Source organism: Homo sapiens, chromosome 19 (genome assembly GCF_000001405.40).
Source record: "Homo sapiens chromosome 19, GRCh38.p14 Primary Assembly".
NCBI lineage: Eukaryota > Metazoa > Chordata > Mammalia > Primates > Hominidae > Homo > Homo sapiens.
In genome coordinates, this window is record NC_000019.10 from 35,067,453 (window position 1) to 35,090,038 (window position 22,586).

Here is a 22,586-nt window from a genome sequence, read left to right on the forward strand (position 1 = left end):
ACCACAGCTTCCAAGCAATTTCCTTTTTTTTTTTTTTTTTTTTTTTGAGACAGAGTTTCACTCTTGTCTCCCAGGTTGGAGTGCAGTGGCGTGATCTTAGCTCACTGCAACCTCCGCCTCCTGGGTTCAAGCGATTCTCCTGCCTCGGCCTCCCGAGTAGCTGGGATTACAGGCGTGCCCCACCACGCCCAGCTGATTTTTGTATTTTTAGTAGAGACGGGCTGTCACCATGTTGGCCAGGCTGCTCTCGAACTCCTGACCTCAGGTGATCCACCTGCCTCGGCCTCCCAAAGTGCTGGGTGTCACGCGCATCCATGTGAAGAGACCACCAAACAGGCTTTGTGTGAGCAATAAAGCTTTCTAATCACCTGGGTGCAGGCAGGCTGAGTCCGAAAAGAGAGTCAGTGAAGGGAGATAGGGGTGGGGCCGTTTTATGGGATTTGGATAGGTAGTGGAAAATTACAGTCAAAGGGGTTTGTTCTCTGGCGGGCAGGGGTGGGGGTCACAAGGTGCTCAGTGGGGGAGCTTCTGAGCCAGGAGAAGGAATTTCACAAGGTAATGTCATCAGTTAAGGCAGGAACCGGCCATTTTCACTTCTTTTGTGATTCTTCAGTTACTTCAGGCCATCTGGATGTATACATGCAGGCTTGGGCTCAGAGGCCTGACACTGGGATTACAGATGTCTGCTGCCACACCTGGCTAATTTTTGTATTTTTAGTAGAGACGGGTTTCACCATGTTGGCAGGCTGGTCTCGAACTCCTGACCTCAGGTGATCCGCCCACCTTGGCCTCCCAAAGTGCTGGGATTACAAGCCTAAGCCACTGCACCCAGCCCAGCTTCCTAAAATATAGATGATCTACAAGAGCTCCTTTGAGAAACTGACAAACTGTGCATTTGGAAAACGATCCCAGCGTCACTCCCCGATCCCCACACCCCTGGCGAGGTTGAGCCCCACCACTGCTTTGTTGGTCAGGAGCCCCCAGGCCCACATCGTGTTAGCAGAGCCTCAGTGCAGTTTCCCCAAACGTCTACCTCTGGCTGTGGTGTTCTACCCATGGCATGTGGGATGTAATTTGAGACCTGACCTACGGCTTGCTTTGTTAGAAACGTATTGAGTTACAACACGGAGTGACTGAGTTTTCCTTTGTAATTGCCAGCTGAGAAATGTACTGTACCTGTGTTTTAGGAAGTCTGGGGACTCTGAGAGAACATGGTCCACCCTGGGGGTTCTAAACTGAGGTGACCATGTCCTGGAGGGACACAGTTTGCTCTGGTGAGGAGAAGGGCGGGTGTGAGGGGCACTGAAGAAGGCATGGCCCTGCCCTGGGAAGTCTGGGGGGGATGTGGCCTTATTCTAGGGGATCTGATGGAAATTTGGTCATTAAAAGCCAACAGGCATCCTGCTGGGAAAATAAAAACCAGGTGGCCATGTTATTGGAAAGGGGTCCTGATCCAGACCCCAGGGGTTCTTGGATCTCGTGCAAGAAAGAATTCATGGCAAGTCCACAGAGTAAAGTGAAAGCAAGTTGATTAAGAAAGTAAAGGAATAAAAGAATGGCTACTCCATAGACAGAGCAGCCCCGAGGGTTGCTGGTTGCCCATTGTTATGGTTATTTCTTGATTTAGTCTTGATTTATTATTTAGTTATGCTAAACAAGGGGTGGATTATTGACGCCTCCCCTTTTTAGACCATATAGGATAACTTCCCAACATTGCCACGGCATTTGTAAATTGTCATAGCGCTGGTGGGGGTGTAGCAGTGAGGACAATCAGAGGTCACTTTCATGGCCATCTTGGTTTTGGTGGGTTTTCCCGACTTCTTTACTGCAGTCTGTTTTATCAGAAAGGTCTTTATGACCTGTATCTTGTGCCGACCTCCTCTCTCATCCTCTGACTTAGAATGCCTTAATTTACCGGGAATGCGGGCCAGCAGGTCTCCGCCTTACTTTACCCAGGTCCTATTTAAGATGGAGTTGCTCTGGTTCAAACGCCTCTGACAGCCATTCTGAGTTCTGTCTGCACTGTTGCTTTGTTGGAGGAGTGGAGGGGCTGGGGAGATTGTGATTCACTCAACAGCCATTCACTGGTTTCCCTTGTATGCCAGGGGTCAGTGAGCCTCAGTTTCTCCTCCTGCTCCCAGCAACCTTGCCACTCACCCCAAAGAGCTAGGAAGATATTTAAAAAGAATAATAACAGTCACAAGGTTGCTTTCAGTTCCTGCCAGGGTCTCAGTCTTCAGAAAAGCTGAATATGAAAATTACTTCCATGTCATTGTGGTGCCGCTCAGAATCAGAAATATTTGACCCATCTTACAGAATTAGTGCAACTACATCAGGAACCCAAGCCAAGTTTTGCATTCCTATTTAGCATTTATATCTACATAGTCCTTTTCAAATATAGAAAAGCTTTCTGGATGTTAGTTGGAACAGATAGCTCCATATGTGGTTATAAGTTGGCATTCTCCCAGCTGGGTTGAAGGAGAAATGTACAGCTACTCTGCCACAACAGTTATTTCATACATAAAATCACAGCCATGATTAGCAATGATGGTGAAGGCTATTCATTTTATATTCAGAAATAATTATTGTGAACATTCAGATAGCAGCATAAGTAGGGAGATGGACTTTAGTTTCTGCATAAAAAGTAACACTGTTTCAATCCTGCAGTTATGAAGCGAGGAGCTGTTTTGGCTCTTGCTGCATGACATACCACCCAAAGCTAGTGGGTACAGTAAATGCTCATGGATTCTGCAGCTCAGAAAGTTGGACAGGGAACAGCAGGCACAGCTTGTCTCTGCTCCCTGATGACCAGGTCCTTAGCTAGAAAGCCTAAAGGAACAGGGACTGGAATAGGGAGGCTTCTTTTGTTTGTTTGTTTTGAAACAGGGTCCCACTCTGTCGCCCAGGCTGGAGTGCAGTGGTGTGATCATGGCTCACTAAAACTTCTACCACCTGGGCTCAATCGATCCTCCCAACTTAGCTTCCCAAGTAACTGGGACTACGGGTGTGTGCCACCATACCCAACTAATTTTATTTTTTTTTTGTAGAGATGGGACTGGTTGCCCAGGCTGGTCTTGAACTCCTGGGCTCAAGTGACCCTCCTGCCTCGGTATCCCAAAAGGAGGCTCTTTACTCACAAGTCTAGTATCCGGGCTGGGATCACTCAAAAGCTGAGCTCAGCTGGTACTGTGGACTCATTGTCTGGCTAACTTGGGCTTCCTTCCAATATGGCTACCCAAGGACATTTGAACTTCTCACGTGGTGGCTCATGGCTCCAGAGTGAGCATTCCAGCAGACACTGGCCTTTACACCCCAGCCTCATTTCTGCTCCACTCTGTCAGCTGAAGCAATCACAAACCTGTCCAGACCCTAGAGGAGGAGATGGAGACCCCACCCTTTGGTGGTGGAAGGCAGGTCAAAAAATTTGGGGCCACATCTTAAAACTGCCCTAGGAGCTTATGGACTATCGGAGCAAATTAACAGCTGACAAAGCAGAGAAATGATCCCTCAGTAAGGTGTTCAACCTGAAATATTTCCCTGCTAAAATTGTGGATAATAAAATTATGACAGTAATAACTTTTTAGAACACTTTCACATTTGTTCTTACATTACAGAAGTTCATTCTAAGAAGGTGATAGTCAGCTTTGGGCAAATCTTTAATTTAATACTTCACTAATTAGCATTTGGCCACAATGCCTGTTTCACTTCTAAATAATAATAATAATTTATATTAATAAACATATCCATGCATATTTTTGAGCACTTCCTATGTGACAGGTACTGTACTGAGAGTTTTATACATGTTACTTCAGTATTTCCCCAAATTCAGATGTTTGAAAGTGGCTGTCTTAATTTTTGCTATTCATTCATTCAAATAATATTTATTAAGCACCTATTATGTGCCAGACACTGTTCTAGGAATTGGAGAAATATAGGGGACAGGACAAACCAACTTTATGGAGCTTAGGGGCAAACAAATACCGCTGGTACTACTTGTATTGTTTTATTCAAATTATCTCTTTTCCTTTTGTGTGTGTGTGTGTGTGTCTTTTTTTTTTAAGCTTAGCCTTGACTTTATTTATGTATTATTTTTATTGATTTATTTATTTTGAGACCGGGTTATGAGACTGGCTAATTTTTGTATTTTTGATAGTGATGGGGTCTCGCTATGCTGCCCAGGCTGGTCTCAGACTCCTGGGCTCAAGCGATCCACCTGCCTTGGCCTCCCAAAGTGCTAGGATTACAGGCATGAGCCACTGTGCCCTGCCAGCCTTGACTTTAACAATAATGTTTATGAAACTGTGGGTTTGAGGCCGGGTGCAGTGGCTCATACCTGCAATCCCAGCACTTTGGGAGGCCGAGGCGGGTGGATCACGAGGTCAGGAGATTGAGACCATCCTGGCTAACACGGTGAAACCCCATCTCTACTAAAAATACAAAAAAATTAGCCAGGCATGGTGGCGGGTGCCTGTAGTCCCAGCTACTCAGGAGGCTGAGACAGGAGAATGGCGTGAAGCCGGGAGGTGGAGCTTGCAGTGAGCCGAGTTTGCGCCACTGTACTCCAGCCTGGGCGACAGAGCGAGACTCTGTCTCAAAAAAAAAAAAAAAAAAAAAAAGAAACTGTGGGTTTGATGTGGCGGTGGCAGATATATGTTTTTCAATATAAATCAAAACAAATGTATTAAATAAACAAATGCTAGTGAAATAATAACAATTCCTTCTTCACTGCCATCCTATACTCTCCCGGGGTTTCCCGCCAGCAGCCCATGTGCCGCCCTTTGGGAAACACTTGTTTCATCGCCATGCAAGCTGGGAAGGAGGGTCTGTGGGGTTTGCTGTCCTACAGAGGGGCTGCATATCCCGTCCAAGGTCCACCTCCGAGGGGCAGGGCTGGCGCTGGGGCCTGGGGCTGGAACAGCTCGGGATATGGCACTGAGCTCTCATTCCCAGCCTCTCTCTGCTGAGCAGGTTCGGACACTTTCTCCCTGGCGGGGTGGTGGGGGGGTCCCTGGACCGCTAGGGAAGTGCATGTGTCCAGATGCTGGCGGTGTTCTGGAGAAAAAGATGGGATGCCTTAACCCAGACACTCCTTGGACTGGTGGTGCAAAAAGGAGCCTTCGAATGAGGACTGGGCCCAGGTGTGGCAGGCCAGGTCTCACTAACGCAGGCCTCCATAACAACTGTTTCAGCACCGACTGAGTGGCTAAGTCAAATATTAAAAGCTGATAGAGCCAGTGCCCTATACAAAAGCTGGAATGTAACAAAAGCCTACCAAGAGTTTTGCTCAGGCCTTTCCTGGGCTTTAAAGCATGACAAGATAAAGAATGAATTCTTAACAGGACCCTTTTAGGATTAAACAAGTTTAATTGGGGGTCTGAAGAAACTACACTTACACACAGGCATATAGCTTAGAAGGTATATAAGCTCTGGAAAACTTTGTAATTTTGAGTTGGTCTGGGGACAATTTCCAGGCTTTCACCCTATAACCAGTTACAGAAATAAAAACTCCCTTTTCGCTGGGTGCGGTGGCTCATGCCTGTAATCCCAGCACTTTGGGAGGCCGAGGTAGGCGGATCACCTGAGGTCAGGAATTCGAGACAAGCCTGACCAACATGGAGAAACCCCGTCTCTACTAATAATACAAAAATTAGCCAGGCATGGTGGTGGGTGTTGGTAATCCCAACTACTTGGGAGGCTGAGGCAGGAGAATTGCTTGAACCCGGGAGGCAGAGGTTGCCGTGAGCCGAGACAGTGCCATTGCACTCCAGCCTGGGCGATAGGGCGAGACTCCGTCTCAAAAAACAAAAACAAAAACAAAAACAAAAACAAAAAAAACCTCCCTGTTCTCCCAGTTTATCTGCATCTCATCACTGGGCCATGAGAAATAGCAGCCTAATCCTCAGTTTGGTCCAGGAACACAGGTGACCCTCTGTCCCATGTGGTTTGACCAGGTAAAGGGCTGTCTGGGGTTTGAGGGTCTGGAGCACCCCTTTGGGACACTGCTTTGAAGATGGAGTCCCCAGTGCCTAACTCTGAGCCTCCTCCACCAGGGTGGTCCGTGAATCTCACAGGTGCACAGTAACGAGCCCCCTTGCCTGTATGCTCCTCCTCCCCGTCTCCCCGTTCACGTCTCCAGGCGAATCTCCCCTTCTGGGTCCAGTAACACTCCTAAATGCCTGACCTTGACTATCCACCATGGCAGCCCCAGCCATGCCCTGCAGATGCCCACCCCTGGGCCCCCGGGGCTGGCCAGCAGCCCACGAGTCTCCCCAGCCACACATCTTGGCCCTGCTTGATGCACATGCACTCCGTTCCTGGATGCTGTGTGCTCATCTCTAACCTGCTCCAAGAGAACCAGCAGGGCCCCATGGGAAGAGGCTCCCTGCATGTTCAGCTGTCTGTCAGCAGCGGCCCTTCACCAAGCAGTGGCTCAACTTTCCCACTGTGGATCGCTTGACTTGTGCCCAGCCCTGCTAATGGGTGGGGGGTTCCTCCAGGGTCTGGCAACCCGGCCCCCTGGGAAAGCCCTGGAAGATTTCCATCCCCTCTTTCCTCCCTTGCCCTGCCCACCAACCCCAGACCTGGCCCAGCCTCAGGCAGACCGGATGGGAACCAGGATCCCTGGGAGACCCCCAGGCCCCCTGGACCCTCGAACAATGGAAGGTGAGCTCCAGCTGCCCCGTCCCCACCCTGGCCCCACCTCTGCCCTGGTATAAGCCCGCCTGGCCCGCAGCACCTGCAGCCACCATGGGGATACTGTGGCTTCTGCTGGTGGGTGAGTAGGAGTGGGGACTCTGGAAGGGGGTCGACTGTGCCACGTGGGCCCCAGCCCTTAGCTGACATCCTTCCCCTCAGTCCTACAGAACCAAGTGACTTGGAGCAAGGAGATCAGAGGTGAGAATGGATGTGCTCCCTAACCTGGAGAGAGGACAGGGCCATGTGGACAGGCAGGGAGGGCTCCAGGGGTCTGAGGAGCCATGGCCCCACCCTGGAGTCCCTCAGGGGACCTGGAGCTTTCTCTTGGGGACTGAGGGGACACAGCCCTGCCCTGGGGCTCTGAGGGGAGCCTCAGTGGTCTCGTGTCCCCAGCCTCGCTCCTGTACCCCTATGGGCTGGAGTGTGGGGATCAGGCCCTCCCTGCAGAGGATGATGACTTCTCTGAGGAGCTGCGGCTGCTGGAGCCCTTCATGCTCTTTGAAGCCACACACGGGACGGCCTATGTGAGTGCCCTGGCCCTGACCGTGCGGTCCCTGGGCTCTCTCTCTTCTCCCCACCCCACTCTTGACTCGGAGCCTGTCTATATCTATAGCTCCTGGCTCCTTCTGGCTTCGTCCTCTGTCTTCCTGGGGCGGGCCCTGTCCCTCTTCTGTCCCCTGCCCTGCCAACACCCCCCTGCGGGTCTTGCCCTTCCTCACTTCCCCCAGTTCTGCACCAATGGGCTGGTGTCCTTCGGGGAGCCTGTGGCTCTCTTCACACTGGAGGCATTTCCCCAGGAGATGGGCCAGGCCTTCGCAGTCCCGTTCTGGGCCAATGGGTCCACACTGAGCAGGGGCCAGATGTGGTACCGGCAGAGCCGCCAGCCAGAGCTGCCGCAGCAGGTGGCCTGAGACCTGGCCTCAGCCTTCCCCCATGCCCCGCCCACCCCTTGCGCCCTGCTGGTGGCCATGTGGGACCAAATTCCATTTTACGGGGCACTTGGTCCCCAGGTGAGGAAGCGGGTGGCAGAGAAGGGCCCAGGCTGAGGCTGTTTGGCCCAACCCCTTGGGAAGAAGGGCTTGGATTCCTGGGTAAGGAGGAGACACCACGGAGGAGAGACGGAGATGGGGGAACGAGGGAGAGATAGAGGGGGCGGGAAGAGAGAGACAGAGAGACGGAAGCATGGAGATGCAGCGAGGTAGAGAAAATGGGTGAGAAAGAGGGAAGACACGAACAGGGAGAGAAATGGCGAGAGAGAGGAGGCAAGACAGCAAGCGAGAGGAGTGAGATGATCAGATGGAGAGACAGAGAATAGGAAAAGGAGAGAGACGGAGAGAGAGAGGGGATGAGAGCAGAGCAGAAAAATCGAGACTGGGGGATGTGAAAGGAAGGCTGGCACAGGTGCCAGCAGAGGCAGCTGTGGACATGGTGTGGACAGGGGCCTGGGAGGTGGCGTGGATGGGGGTCTGGGATGTGGCATGGGTAGGGGCCCGGGATGTGGTGTGGATGGGGGCCCAGGAGGTGGCACAGCTGGAAGCAGCCAGCTTAGTGGTGCAGATGGAGCTCGGTTGAGGACTGGGCAGTGAGGAGGGTCCTGGGTGCCCCTGGACCAGCCCACGACACCCTGGCTCCTGGCGCTTGCCCTGCAGGTGAACACCTTCCAGGAGGTGCTGGCCCTGGGCAGCGGCCCCTCCTGGGTGCTGTTTCACCACAAGGACATCCAGTGGACCATGGGGGTGGCCAGCGGTGGGAGCCCCCACCACGGCCTGGGGGGCATTGCGGCCCAGGTGAGTGGGGAACCCACAGGGGCCTCCCTGGGTCCTTGGGGAGGGTGAGGACGCAGGTGGGCTGACCCTGTTCCAAATGACACCCCCAGGCAGGCTTCAACAGCGGCCGACAGAGGGACTACTTCACCCTTCCTGGCTCCCGGACCTCAGGCATCCTGAATGTGGCAGACACCAGCAATGTGGGCATCCCCAGGCACTAGGCCTTCTGCATCAACAGCTTTGCAGTCCCCAACGGCTGCACCTACAATGGTGAAGGGTGGAGAACCTGCCCCAGACCTGCCTGCTCCCAGGGCCCAGCCACAGAGCCCAGGAGCCCAGGCCCCACACTCTCCTCCTCCAAGACCCAGGAGTCCAGTCAGCCCTCAGTCCATTCCATCCTTAGATCCAGGAATCAGAGGCCGGGCGGGGTGGCTCATGCCTGTAATCCCAGCACTTTGGGAAGCCGAGGCAGGCGGATTACCTGAGGTTGAGGGTTCGAGGCTTGACCAACATGGAGAAACCCCGTCTCTGTTAAAAATACAAAATTGGCCGGGCATGGTGGCACATGCCTATAATCTTAGCTACTTGGGAGACTGAGGCAGGAGAATTGCTTGAACCCAGGAGGCGGAGGTTGCAGTGAGCCAAGATCGCGCCATTGCACTCTAGCCTGGGCAACAAGAGCGAAACTCTGTCTCAAATTAAAAAAAAAAAAAAAGATCCAGGAGTCAGAACCCCCAGTCCCCACCTTCCTCAGGACCTGAGGTTCAAGCCTCAGCCCCAGACACCCCCACCGCAGCCCACTCTCTCCACAGCCCAGTTCCTGCCCCTAGGTGCCTCTTTGTGGAACAGCAGTGCCTGCAGCCACCACACTGTGGGCAGGAAGGCCGGGTGTGGTGCTGGCCAGAGGGCTGCCAGGTGGGGCAGCAGTGTATGCCTGCACACCCCTTCCCACACTGCTGGGCCCCTCGTGGCCCCTCCTGCCACCTGGGTCCCCAGGGCCACCCGCACACACTCTCCAGATGGCAGCTGTGGCTCCAGCCCTGCCACTTCGTCCTGGCCCTGCTTCCTGGCATCTGCGTGGAGGTGGAGTTGAGGAGGGGAGGCCCGGTGGCAGAGGCCCTGGTGCGGCTGGTCATCCATGGCTGGGATGTGGTAGTGAGATCGCATGGCCCAATAGAACACATCCTGGTGAGTGGGGCTGGGAGCCGGGCTGGAGGATAGAACCCGGACAGCCGTGGAGTCGCAGACACACTAAGTGCCCACAGCCCCAGAGACTGCCACAGAGACTGGCGGGCAGAGTCAAATGTTAGATGGACAGGCAGGCAGACAGACAGACAAAATGAATAACAGGCAGAGAGACGGACAAGAAGACAGACCAGCTGGCCAATGGACAGGAAGACAGGAGGGTTGGACAGGTGGACAGGTTGATGGAAAGACAGACAGAGTGACGTTGGGATGACCAGAGCAGGTGGCAAGACAGACGGCAGAAGGGGGCTAGATGGACAGAAGGACACATGGCGAGCAGATGGCGAAGCACTTGGTGGACTCGCTGAGGCCGACGATGGTCGCAGGCAGACAGAGCCTCCCGGGCTCTCATCCTAGCCATGGACCTCACATTGCCCACCGATGCAGCCCTCCGGGGCCTCAGCGCCACCTGTCCCCTTGACCCCACCTTTCTCTGTTATACAACCCAGTTTCTGCCGCCCACCCTCTGGTTTCCTGACTGGTTGACCTCACTGGCCGCCCCATCTGCTGAGCCTACTGAGCCTACGGTGCTTCCCCACTTCTTACCTTCTGGGACATCAGGCTCCCTCTCAAATCCCTGCTTGTCTACACTCATACCTCCTGCGCTCCTTCCTCCAATACCCCACAGGTGAACCACACCTCTCCACTTGCACTCACCCCTGCATGTAGGCAGCAGAGCACACCTGGGCTGGTGTCGTACCTGTGACTGTGAACTTGAAAGGACCTTCCTTCCACCTCCCTGGCACCCTCACTCACCTCCTCTCCCTGGCCACCTGTTCACACCTACTCCTCTCCCTTTAGACCAAACCTCCTCCCTGGAACTCATTCTCAGCCTATGAGATCGCTTCCTACTTCACTGGTAGCATCAGCTGGAACCTGCCAGGCACTCCCCAACCCTCCACCTACAGTCCAGGCTGCCATGATGGAGGGTGGTCTGTGCTCCTTCCTGGCTTGGCCACCTCTGTGACAGTTCCTGCATCTCCCAGCAATGCTTCCTCTCCCTCTCCTCTATATCCGTGCTTCTCAAAGTGCAGCTATTAGACCAGTAGCATCAGTAGCACCTAGGAATGTGTTTGAAATGCAAATTCTTGGGTCCCACCCAAGACCACCACTCTGGGTGGGTACATGCAATCTGAATTTTTTTTTTTTTTTTTTTTTTGAGACAGGGTCTCCGTCACTCAGGCTGGAATGCAGTGGCACGATTTTGGCTCAGTGCAACCGCCTGCCTTGGCTTCCCAGGATAATGGGATTACAGGGAGTGCAGGCCAGCACTCCTGGCTTGCAGTCTGTTTTTGCTAGCCCTTCCGGGGATTCTGATGCATGCTGAGCTCCAATGAGCTTCACCATCAATTTGCTATTTTTTTTTTTCTTTTTGAGACAGAGTCTCGCTCTGCTGAAGTGCAGTGGTGCAATCTTGGTTCGCTGCAACCTCCGCCTCCTGGGTTCAAGCGGTTCTCCTGCTTCGGCCTCCCAAGTAGCTGGGATTACAGGTGTGTGCCACCACGCCCGGATAATTTTTGTATTTTTAGTAGAGATGGGGTTTCACCATGTTGGCCAGGCTGGTCTCAAACTCCTGACTTCAAGTGATCTGCCCACCTCGGCCTCCCAAAGTGTTGGGATTACAGATGTGAGAACCTGCGCCTGGCCAATTTGCCTTTTTCTACCAGATCCTTCTCACTGCATTCCAATAGGCTACAATTTTGCCATCTTCAAAAACCTTTCTCCTCAATCCTTCCTCCGCCTCTAGCCACTACCTCATTTCTCACATACCCTGTACAAGAAAAGCACACAGAAGAGTTGTCAGGCTCACTGCCTCCAATGCCTCTCTTCTTTCTTTGAGAGACAGGGTCTCATTCCATGGCCCAGGATGGAATGCAGTAGTGCAGTCATGGCTCACTGCAGCCTTGACCTCCAAGGCTCAATTGATCCTCCCACCTCAGCCTTCTGAGTAGCTGGGACCACAGGCGCACATCACCACGGCTGGCTATCAGTTCCTCTCTTTTCATTCTCTCTTTCGGACCTTCTCTAGTCAGGCTTTTTCCGCCTTCAACTTCATGCAGCCAAAACTACTCTCGATGAGGTCCCCCCAGGACAGTAGTCAATCTTCAGGCCACATCCTGATTGACCGCCAGTTATGTCTGACACAGCCCTGTCCCTCCCTTCTCCATGAGACACTCTTCCCAATTTCCAAGACCCCACATTCTCCCGGTTCTCCTCCAGCCATGCGTCCCCATCAGCCCACACGCTAAACACTGGAGTGCCCAGGGCTCAGCCTGCCCTCCTCTCCTCCCCACCTTCACCCATTCCTGGGCACTCACCCAGGCTTTCTGATGGAAACACACCAATCTTCTCCTACTTTTCCTCTTAAGAATTTTACCTGACCGGGTGCGGTGGCTCATGTCTGTAATCCCAGTGCTTTGGGAGGCTGAGGTGGGAGGATCGCTTGAGTCTAGGAGTTCCAGACCAGCCTGGGCAACGTAGTGAGAACCCATTTCTACAAAAATTTTAAAATTTGCCAGGTGTGGTGGCCCGTACCTGTAGTCCCAGCTATGTTTCAGAGCCTCATGGCATCTTCTCCTTCTTGCTGACAAGTGCATTTCTATCTGAATGCCTCTCGCTGGGAACCTGCGCCATCACACTCACCCCATGCCAAGGCCCCGACCCCACAGCAGGGCCACATTCTGCACCTGGGACCGCAGGAGCTGAGCCCCAACTGCCGTGAGCTGTGTGAGTGCAAGGAGGCTGGGCAGCCACCCCACTGCAGCCCCCAGGCGTGTGAGGACGGGGAGGCCTGCTTCCTGCTCACCGGGGCCTGGTACTGTGGGGTCCGGAGAGGTAGCAGCTGGGTGTCAGGTGACCCCCATTACCACAGCTTCAACAGCACAGCCCTCACAGCCCAGGGTGCCTGTCACTATGTGCTGAGCCGCACCTGTCAGGCCGGCCTGAGGGCACAAGCTTTCACAGTGTGGGTGGACAATGAGTACCTAAGTCCCACGGCCCTCATGACTGGGGCTCGGCCGATCGAAGTGGACGTGCACGGGGTGAAGGTGATGATGGAGGCTCAGACCCCCGGGAGGGCACAGGTGAGCTTGGGCAGGGGCTGGGATCAGGCCCCAGAAGGGCGGGCTTAGACTCAGGAATCCGGGGAGGACCCATTCACATCCTAGGAAGACTTGAGGGGACACAGCCTCACCCCAAAGGTTCTCAGGGATTCCCAGACCCACCTAGGGGTGTTTGATGTGGACATGGCCCCGGGTGTGTCTCCAGGTTAACAGGACCCAGGCCCACCTGCCCCTACGCCTGGCTGGCGGCCAAGTGCACGTCTATTTCAGCGATTCTGGGGCCATGCTGGAGACTGACGCTGGCCTCTTGGTCTCCTACGACTGGAGCCACCATGTATCCATTATGGTGCCTGAGTCCTACGCTGGCACCCTCTGCAGCCTGTGTGGGGACTTCAACGGGGACCCCCATGATGACTTCCATGCCCCTGATGGCTCCCTCCTGCCTGACCCGGAGGTGTTTGCACTCAGCTTGAAGGGCCTGGATTCCCCAGCCAGTTGCTCCACCGTGGGCACTGCCCCTCTGTGCCCCCATGACCGAGAGGGCCGGTACCAGTCACTGGCTTTCTGTGGGCTGCTGGGTGCCCACGATGGGCCCTTCCAGGCCTGTGATGAGCTGGCCCAGGCCCAAGTCCACATGGAGAACTGCATCCGTGACCTCTGTGCCACAAGGGGTTCCCGGCAGATCCTGTGCGAGGCTCTGGGGAGCTATGTCCAGCAGTGCCAGCAGCACGGCCTCCTAGTGAGGCCCTGGAGACACCTGGTGGACTGCGGTGAGTGGCATCCTCTCCATGCCAGCCAGCACGTTCTGCCGGCCAGGTCCAGAAAACCAGTTCCGCCCATTTTGTGGGGTTGCATAATTAATGATCTCAGAGTAGCTACTTCAGGCCTGGCCCAGTGAGGCGCTCGACATCACTGGCCTTGGTTTCATGCTTCCCACCAAATTGGCTCCACATCCAGACAGGCTCACCCTGACCACAGTGGCTCCACACCTTGCAGCCACTCAGGTTTCTCAGCCCAGCAGGAAAGAGAGCTCCGTGGGTCTCAGAAGCTCCAGCATGATTTGCACTGCGTCTCTGTGGCTTCAACTGACTCCTTCTTGTACCTCTCACTGTGGCCAGGGGAATGTGAGTCTCCGATTGACTTCTGCCTGACCGCGGGCTCTGCCCTTGGGGAGACTGCCCAGGCAGAAGTTGGGATGAGGTTAGCAGTGGGCAGTAGTACTGGCTGGTGCCCAAAGGACAAATGTCTGCGGCCTCTCACCCTTGTCCTGCTGCCAAGTGATCTTTGTCAAGAGCATTAAGCAGTCTTTCAAACATTTTTGTTGGAGACCCACAATACAAAATATAGTTCATTTCAGGATCTAATTCTATTAGTTTTCTATCTCTTGCTGCTGTAACAAATTGCAACAAACTCAGCAGCTTAAAATAACACTTTTTTTTTTTTTTTTTGAGACAGGATCTCGCTCTGTCACCCAGGCTGCAGTGCAGTGGTGCAATCATGGCTCACTGCAGCCTCCAACTCCTGGCTCAAGTGCTCTTTCTGCCTCAGCCTCCTGAGTAGCTGGGACTACAAGCATGCACCACCACACCTGGCTATTTTTAAAACTTTTTTTGTAGAGACAGAGTCTTGCTATGTTGCCCAGGCAGTTCTCAAACTCTTAGTGTCAAGCGATCCTCCTGCTCAGCCTCCCAAGGTGCTGGGACTACAGGTGTGAGCCACTGCACCCAGCTAATTTTTATTTATTTATTTATTTATTTTGAGATGGAGTCTCACTCTGTTGCCCAGGCTGGAGTGCAATGGCGCGACCTCAGCTCACTGCAACCTCCACCCCCTGGGTTCAAGCAATTCTCCTGCCTCAGCCTCCCAAGTAGCTGAGACTACAGGCACCTGCCACCACAGCTGGCTAATTTTTTGTATTTTCAGTAGAGATGGGGTTTCACCATGTTAGCCAGATGGTCTTGATCTCCTGACCTCATGACCTGCCCACCTTGGCCTCCCAAAGTGCTAGGATTACAGGCATGAGCCACCCCTCCCGGCCCAACTCCAGCTAATTTTTTGAAAATGTTTTGTACAGATGGGGTCTTGCTATGTCAAATTTTTTCTTACAATTCCAACACAGTTCTCGCTGGCCTAAAAATCAACGTGTCTGCAGGAGTGCATTTCTTTCTGGAGGCTCTAGGGGAGAACTGTTTCCTTAATTATTTAAATTGTTGGCTGAATTCAGTTTCTGATGGCTATAGGACTGAGGGCCCTGTCTCTCTGCTGGCTGTAACCTGAGGGTTGGTGTCTACTTCTAGAGGCCACCCACATTCCTTGGCTCATGGCCCCTTCCATCATTTTCAAGGCCACTAACAGCAGGTCAAGTCCCCATTATGCTTCGAAATCCCCTGCCTCTTTCTGATGGACTCTCTGGCCTCTGTCTCCCACTTTTAAGAGCCCACGTGATTACACTGAGCCCAGCCAGATAATCCAGGTTAATCTCTCCCTTCCCAAGGTCTAGAACCTTAATCACATCTGCAAAGTCCATTTTGCCATGTAACGTATCACAGGATACAGCGATTAGACTGTGGACATCTTTGAGGGGCTGTTCTTCAGCTGACCACACCAATATATGCATACACAGCACACAAAGTGTCACCAAATAGGAAAATGCACTCAATACTTTGCATTACATTCTTTTCTATTCTATTTCATTTTTCAAAGCAGGGAATTATCCCACTGATCTGTATAGCATTGAGATTGAGAACACAGATCCCAAAGTCAGCCTGCCTTGGTTAGGATGCCAGTACCACCACTTTCAGCTGTGTGCTCTTGGGGACGTCACTTAACCTCTCCGTGCCTCAGTTTCCCCTTTAACAAGAGAAAGAATGGTGAAAATAACACTTCTCTTGTGGGGTTGTTGTGAGAGCCAAACAAATAAACAGTAGCTGGCAATATAGTGAATATAGTGAATGCTCTACAAGTATTAGCTGTCACTATGAAATTGATTTTTTTTTTGAGGGGGGATGGAGCCTCACTCTGTCACCCAGACTGGAGCACAGTGGTGTAATCTCGGCTCACTGCAAAATTCACCTCCCGAGTTCAAGCAATTCTCATGCCTTAGACTCCCAAGTGTCTGGGAGTACAGGAGCATGCCACCATGCCCAGCTAATTTCTGTATTTTCAATAGAGATGGGATTTTGCCATGTTGGCCAGGCTGGTCTTGAACTCCTGACTTCAAGTGATCCACCTGCCTCTGCCTCCCAAAGTGCTGGTGAGCCACCGTGCCCAGCCTGAAATTGACTTTTAACCTGTGTTAACATCACTCTGTCCTGAGATCAAAACCACAGGGCTCTGCTGTTGGCAGGTCTTGTCCCAGAGTCTGGGTCAGCCTGTCCTGGGGAGGGCCTGGGATCAGCCCGGCCCACACCCTCTCCAGTCCAGCAGGCAGCTGAGATGGGTCCTGAGCCATCTTTTTATCCCTTTGGTGTGAATGGGACAACGCGACCATTTCACAGATGAAGAGCAGACACAGAGCCGCACAGCTGGGGAGTGGCAGGGAGGGGTCCCCCTGGGCCTGATCTTGCCCTGGGTGATGCAGGGGCCAGGGCAGGACTGAGAAGTGCCGGGTCTCTGACCTCGTAGGGCCCACACGCTGCCAGGGTGGCCGAGTCTGTGGTGGGGCAGCCACGGCAGAGTGATCAGGGCTCACATGAGGGAAGCGTAGGGCCACAGGGGAGCACAGAGGAGGGGCTGGCCCAGCCTGGAAAGTCAGGCCAAGTTTCCCAGAGGAAGGGCCACGAGAGCTGAGGCTTGAATGACAAGTCAAAGCCAATAGGTAAGCAAGGAGAAGCCAAATGTTCTAGGGAGAAGGAACAAGGTTTTCAGAAGCCCAGAGACTGTGTAAATTTGAGCCAGAGATGGGGGAGCCTGGAGAGAGACATGGTCCTGGGCTGTGTCTGTGGGGCCTTGAATGGCAGGCAAGAAGTGAGGACTTTATCCCGAAGGACTGGGCCTCTAACCTCCAGGACCCCAAGGCGCAACTCCTTTTCTCTGCCCCTAGTCCCTCACTCCTCTCAGAGCAGGAAGCAAGTTCAGCATCTTGCAAACAAAACCTCTCTTTGTCCAAAGGAAACAGCCCATTGCAAGCTCCGAAGGCCAACACAAGGGACTGGTGGTGGGTGCTCTGGCCTCTGGCCTGCCTGGCCCACCCCTCCTCCCAAAGCCAGAGACAAGCCCCGGGGGCATCACACACTTTGACTAAGGTTAACTGAACACCCACTAAGTGCTAGGCAGCATTCTAGGCGCTGCAGACACAGCAGTGACCCAAACAGACAAAACCTTGCCCTCATGGAGGCGACATTCCAGTGGAGAAGACAATCAGTCAACCCAGCCAGTAAGTAGGTGATTAAACAGTAAGTCAGGCGGGGCAGGGCTGGGGAGTGCTGGAGAAGGGGCATGCAGTATTAAACTGGGGGGTTAGGGTTCCCTGGGGTGCAGAGAGGTGCCCTGGGAGTGGAGACTGAAGGTGGTGGAAAAGGGAGCCGAGCTGGCTGGGGGAGCGGGGAGGCGGGGGGACATTCCAGGCAGCAGGAATCCAGGAAACCCATCCAGGAAGGGTGCAGGTGTCTCCTCCAGCCCCCAGACTCTGGGTGCTCAAATTAAGATGAACTTTGAGCTGGAATATCTCCCACATCCCACCCAGGACATTTCTCCTTTTCTGACTTTCTTTATTAATCCTGAGACTGGGGGACACCCCCACTCCGCCAGCGCACACACACACACACACACACACACACACACAAAACCCTCCCCAGCAATCTCTCCTCCAGTATGTTTTTCCCCTGATCTGTGAAACCCCCAAAGACAAGGGTTAGGGATGGGGTCTCTCTTGGTCACCAGTGTGTCACCAGAACCTACCATAAGGCATTTAAAAGCATAGGTTAGGGCTGGGCACAGTGGCTCACACCTGTAATTCCAGTACTTTGGGAGGCCGAGGTGGGTGGATCACTTGAGGTCAGGAGTTCAAGACCAGCCTGACCAACATGGTGAAACCTTGTCTCTACTGAAAATACAAAAAAAAAAAAAAAAAATTAGCTGGGTGTGGTGGTGTGCACTGGCTGAGGCGGGAGGATCGCTTGAACCCAGGTGGAGGTGGAGGCTGCAGTCAGCCAAGATGGTGCCACTGCACTTCAGCCTGGGTGACAGAGCAAGACTCTGTCTCAAAAACATAAAAAAAATGAAAAAGCATAGGTCAGATCTCATCAGATTCCTGATTAAAAGCATCCCTGGGTCCCCCTTACCTCTGGGATGAAAACTGACCTCCAAGCCTCCTCCTAAGAGGCCCCCACAGCGGCCTCTCTCTGCTCACCCTGCCTCCTCCTACACTGGCTTTGTCTAGCTCACTCCACACCGAGGGTCCAGCCACACTGGCCTCTCTGCTGTCCCTGGACCACGCCAAATGCCTTCCCACCCCTGGGTCTTTGCATCTGCTGTTCCCCCGGCCTGGAATGCTCTTTCCCAGACGTACACACGGCTGGCTCCTTCCATCATTCAGGCCTCAGCTCCAATGTCACCTCTGCAGAGAGGCCTCCCTAGCCACTGTCCTCAAATCAGCCCATGGGGCTCAGCCACTCTGCGCTACCTAAAGCTGGGTAACACAGATCTAACCCAGTTTCTCAATCCAAAATTATCTTTTATTTATTGCTAGTTTGTCGCCCATTTCCCCCCTCTAGAATAGGCCAGCACACTTTTATGATAAAAGGCCAGATAATAAATATTTTAGGCTTTCAGGGCCACACTCTGCCACAACTACTCAAAGCTTCTGTTGTAACATAAGAACAGTCATAGACAATACACGAACCGGCGAGCTGGCTTTCATGAAGACATTATTTATAGACACCGGAATTTGAATTTTACATGATTTTCACACCTCACAAAATTTCCTCTTTTGGTTTCTTTTTTTCTAACCACTTAAACATGTAAAGACTATTTAGATTGTAGGCTGTGCCAAAACAGGTGGAGGGCCAGATTTGGGCCCAAGGGTGAAGCTTGTCAACGTCTGCCCTAGAACATCTGTTTTATGAGGTCAGGGATCTCTGTCTTGGTCATTGCTGTGTCCCCAGGCCCTGGGATGTTCCCGGCATGTAGTGGATGCCAAAGTTGAACAAATATGTGCTATAGAAAAGGCTTCGACACATTCATTAATTCTTCCAACAAATATCCATTGAGGTTTGCCGTGAGCTGGGCTCTGGGGAGATAGCAGGGAACATAATTTGAACGTGGGGCAGTGAGTTGACATCCTTGCATTGAATGACTTGTGTTCCTCCAGAGCTGACCTGGCCCCCCGACAGCCACTACGAGCTGTGTGGCTTCTCCTGTCCCAGCTCCTGCACCGAGCCTGCCCTGCCCGACAGCTGTCTGACACCATGCCAGGATGGCTGCCAGTGTGACCCAGGATTTGTGCTCAGTGGCACGGACTGCTTGACCCCCATCCAGTGCAGCTGCTCCATGGGGGGCAGATACCACCTGGCCGGGGAGCCATTCTGGGCTAGGGAGCACTGTGAGCAATTCTGCCACTGCGAGGCTTCCACCCATGCTGTGTGCTGCTCCCCCTCCTCCTGTGGGCCAGGGCAGAGATGTGGGACCCTAAGGGGCATCTTTGGGTGCCACCCATTCTCCCCTGGCACCTGCCAAGCAGCCGGGCACTCACACATCATCACCTTTGATGGGAAAACTGTTGAGTTCTCAGGTACCTGTGTGTCCGTCTTTGCCGAATCCTGTGGCTCTTCCGGCTCACTGCCATTCTTCAGGATACAGCTGTGAAAGGAGAACAGATCCAGCAGCCCCCTCATGCTCATCTTGGAGGTGTCTGTCCAGGTTAATGGGACCCAGGTCCACCTGCGGAGGGACAGCCCAGGCATGGCTCAGATAAGCACCAGCTTTGGGACGTGTCGTTTCTAGGAACCCCAACCCTTCACCCAAACCCATAGGCCCAAGGGAAAAACTTATTCTGTCTCCATTATTTCTACATTTTACCTCTATTTTCTGATTATATGCCCATTTTTGACTATATCCATCAGATGCATTCAGCTAATATAACAGAAACACTCTCAGACCAGCTTAAGAAAAAAAAGAATTACTGATTTACACAATTGAAAAAAAAAATCTACAGGTGTATGGATTCAGGCATAGCTGGACCCAGGTGCTTGAACAATATGTCTCAAATCTGTCTCAATTTCTGGGCTCTCCTTTCCTTCATTTTCAGACAGGCACCATCCCATCCCACCTTGTAGGGACAAGGACAGCTGCCAGGTTAGCAAATGTCACTGGAGGAAAAGTGTCCCTCACTGGCCCAGCTTGAGTCATGTGACCACCCCTGAATCCCTGATGGACTAGCTGATTGGCTGGGCCTGGGTCATGTGCTGGAAGTTAGGATAGGATTGACTTTCTGTGAACCACATGGATTGATTTTGGAGGGGTGAGTTCTCAGGGAAATCCAGAGAAAGGAGAAATGAATGCAGAACAGGATAAAACAAGAGATGGTCACTATTATAGTTATGTCCTTGTTCCTTCATCTAAAAATGTTTTACATGTATTGGTACGGTGGCTTACATCTGTAATCCTAACACTTTGGGAGGCCAAGGCAGGTGGATCCCTTGAGCCCAGGAGTTCAAGACCAGCCTGTCTCAAGCAGGCAATATAGCGAGACCCCGTATCTAAAAAAGAATTAGGTGGGTGTGTTGGCGCACGCTTATAGTCCCAGCTTATAGTCCCAGCTACTTAAGAGGCTGAGGTGGGAAGATCGCATGAACACAGGAGTTCATGGCTGCAGTGTGCCATGATTGTGCCACTGCATCCAGCCTGAGGGTCAGAGTGAGACCCTATATCAAAAAAAATCAACATTTTTCACGTATTTGAACACCTACTATGTGCCAAGCAACACTGACCCAACTGTGGTCCTATGCTCCCGAGCCTTCCTTTGATTCTGCCTGCTCCTTAGGTGAATGGTGAGACAACAGCCCTCCCCGTAAGCCTGAATGGGGGCAGCCTTGCCGTCCACTGGAATGGCCTCTTCTCCCTGCTGCAGTCAGACTTTGGCCTCTGGCTCAGCACAGATCTCACCTACAGCCTTACCCTCACCCTGCCCCACCTCTACAAGGGTCACACCTGTGGGCTCTGAGGCAACTTCAACTGCAACCCCAGTGAGGACGCTAAGGCTGACATTACCTTGGAGAAGCAGAGCAAGGCTTGTAGGGACAGCTGTGGGGCTGCCTGTCCAGTCTCAGTCTGCAATGACCAGGGGCAGATTGTGTCAGCCAGGAGGCAGTGCTGGCTCCTGCAGGACCCCCAGGACCCTTCAGCCACTGCCACTGGGAGATCAACCCAGACCCATATGTTTCCAGCTGTGTCGATGATTTGTGTCTTGCTGGGGATGATGACCACATCCTCTGCCTGGCCCTGCAGACATATGCCGCCATCTGCCAGGGCGCCAACATCACCATCAGGCACTAGAGGAATTCTTCCTTCTGTGGTGAGTCATGGTTGAGCAGGGCAGGAATTCATCTGCATGCTCTGTATGGCCACACACAGACTGACATCCTTCTGTACTCCTGGGCTGCCTGAGTGCCCCAACCACTTCCCATATTCCCAATTCCAGCACAGGAAGGCCTTCCAGGTTCTCCTCCTAGGCTCCAGCTGGACGCATGTGGATTGGTAGGGGGCCTGTATGCTACCGACTGTTATGTTTTTTTTTGTTTTTTGTTTTTTTTGAGACAGAGTCTCACTCTGTCACCCACGCTGGAGTGCAGTGACTTGTTCTTAGCTCACTGCAACCTCCTCCTCTCGGGTTCAAACTATTCTTCTGCCTCAGCCTCCCAAGTAGCTGGGATTACAGGTGCCCGCCATCACGCCCAGATGATTTTTTGTATTTTTAGTAGAGATGGGGTTTCACCATGTTGGCCAGGCTGGTCTCGAACTCCTGACCTCAGGTGATCCGCCCACCTCGGCCTCCCAAAGTGCTGGGATTACAGGTATGAGCCATGGCACCCAGCCCGCTATGTATTTTGAATACCACCCTGGGTTGACTGGATCCCTGGCCCCCTGTCAAGGGGATGTCCTTTTCCACCCTCAGAATGCCTGACCTGAGATGCCACAATAATAATCCCAACAACTGCTAATACTTATTGAACATCTACAATGTCCCAGGCATGGGGCCGAAGGCTCTGTGTACCTCTTGCCGCCACTGTCTCAGAAACACCCTGCAAGTGAGAGGCAATGACTGTTATTATTCCCACTTTACATTTGGGAAAACAGAGGCTCACAGAGGTAAAGCCATTTGTCTACTGCTAATCACAACAGACAGAGTTGAGACTTGAACTAAGACTTTCTTTCTCCAGAGACAAAAGAAGTTTTATTACTAGCCATATCATCTAATTCTTTCTTTCTTATTTAACTATTATGGAAAATTTGAACATAAAAGTAGAGAGAATAGCCTATTGAATGCCCCTGTACCCAGAAGGCAGCCTCAACAACAGCCAAGTTGTGGCCGACCTGTGTCCACCTCCACCCCTCCCTTATTGATTTATTTTGTGTAAAGCAAATCCCAGACAACGTGTAAACCTGTAAATACTCCAGCATTATTTTTTTTAATAGATAAGGACTTTTAAAAAGAAAAAAACCTGCTGTGGCCGGGCGCGTGGCTCACGCTCACACCTGTAATCCCAGCACTTTGGGAGGTCGAGGCAGGCGGATCACCTGAGGTAGGGAGTTTGAGACCAGCCTGACCAACATGGAGAAACCCCGTCTCTACTAAAAATACAAAATTAGCCGGCGTGGT

The 22,586-nt window shown here is 52.6% G+C and overlaps 1 long non-coding RNA gene and 2 pseudogenes across 2 annotated transcripts in view, besides 6 other annotated features; 2 read left to right on the forward strand and 1 right to left on the reverse strand.

The window, feature by feature from the left end:
- The window catches only part of HPN-AS1 (HPN antisense RNA 1), a 47,246-nt gene that overhangs the window by 8,394 nt on the left and 16,266 nt on the right, over positions 1-22,586 (reverse strand). Inside the window, exons 2-4 of one of the 2 annotated variants that reach the window (NR_024561.1) lie at positions 19,504-19,648; positions 12,085-12,201; positions 5,349-8,724 (exon numbers count right to left, since the gene is read on the reverse strand). This is a non-coding gene — a long non-coding RNA (HPN antisense RNA 1). Of the gene's footprint in view, positions 1-5,348; positions 8,725-12,084; positions 12,202-19,503; positions 19,649-22,586 lie in introns of those variants that run through there. The other variant, NR_024562.1, reaches the window with a different exon arrangement.
- Positions 423-1,108: an enhancer, noted in NCBI's record as "NANOG-H3K27ac-H3K4me1 hESC enhancer chr19:35558779-35559464 (GRCh37/hg19 assembly coordinates)". NCBI's record gives its function as "activates a minimal SCP1, AML or CMV promoter by ChIP-STARR-seq in naive and primed H9 embryonic stem cells {active_cell/tissue: H9 hESC(naive and primed)}" and the evidence as "EXISTENCE:reporter gene assay evidence [ECO:0000049][PMID:30033119]".
- Positions 1,109-1,794: an enhancer, noted in NCBI's record as "NANOG-H3K27ac-H3K4me1 hESC enhancer chr19:35559465-35560150 (GRCh37/hg19 assembly coordinates)". NCBI's record gives its function as "activates a minimal SCP1, AML or CMV promoter by ChIP-STARR-seq in primed H9 embryonic stem cells {active_cell/tissue: H9 hESC(primed)}" and the evidence as "EXISTENCE:reporter gene assay evidence [ECO:0000049][PMID:30033119]".
- Positions 3,179-3,379: a silencer, noted in NCBI's record as "peak3446 fragment used in MPRA reporter construct". NCBI's record gives its function as "represses an SCP1 promoter by STARR-seq MPRAs in K562 erythroleukemia cells {active_cell/tissue: K562}" and the evidence as "EXISTENCE:reporter gene assay evidence [ECO:0000049][PMID:32103011]".
- Positions 8,346-9,031, forward strand: LOC100421064 (sushi, nidogen and EGF like domains 1 pseudogene; annotated as a pseudogene).
- Positions 12,416-21,380, forward strand: LOC100420797 (Fc gamma binding protein pseudogene; annotated as a pseudogene).
- Positions 16,666-17,480: an enhancer, noted in NCBI's record as "H3K4me1 hESC enhancer chr19:35575022-35575836 (GRCh37/hg19 assembly coordinates)". NCBI's record gives its function as "activates a minimal SCP1, AML or CMV promoter by ChIP-STARR-seq in naive H9 embryonic stem cells {active_cell/tissue: H9 hESC(naive)}" and the evidence as "EXISTENCE:reporter gene assay evidence [ECO:0000049][PMID:30033119]".
- Positions 18,767-18,816: an enhancer, noted in NCBI's record as "active region_14454". NCBI's record gives its function as "activates an Ori minimal core promoter by ATAC-STARR-seq in GM12878 lymphoblastoid cells {active_cell/tissue: GM12878}" and the evidence as "EXISTENCE:reporter gene assay evidence [ECO:0000049][PMID:35858748]".
- Positions 18,927-19,036: an enhancer, noted in NCBI's record as "active region_14455". NCBI's record gives its function as "activates an Ori minimal core promoter by ATAC-STARR-seq in GM12878 lymphoblastoid cells {active_cell/tissue: GM12878}" and the evidence as "EXISTENCE:reporter gene assay evidence [ECO:0000049][PMID:35858748]".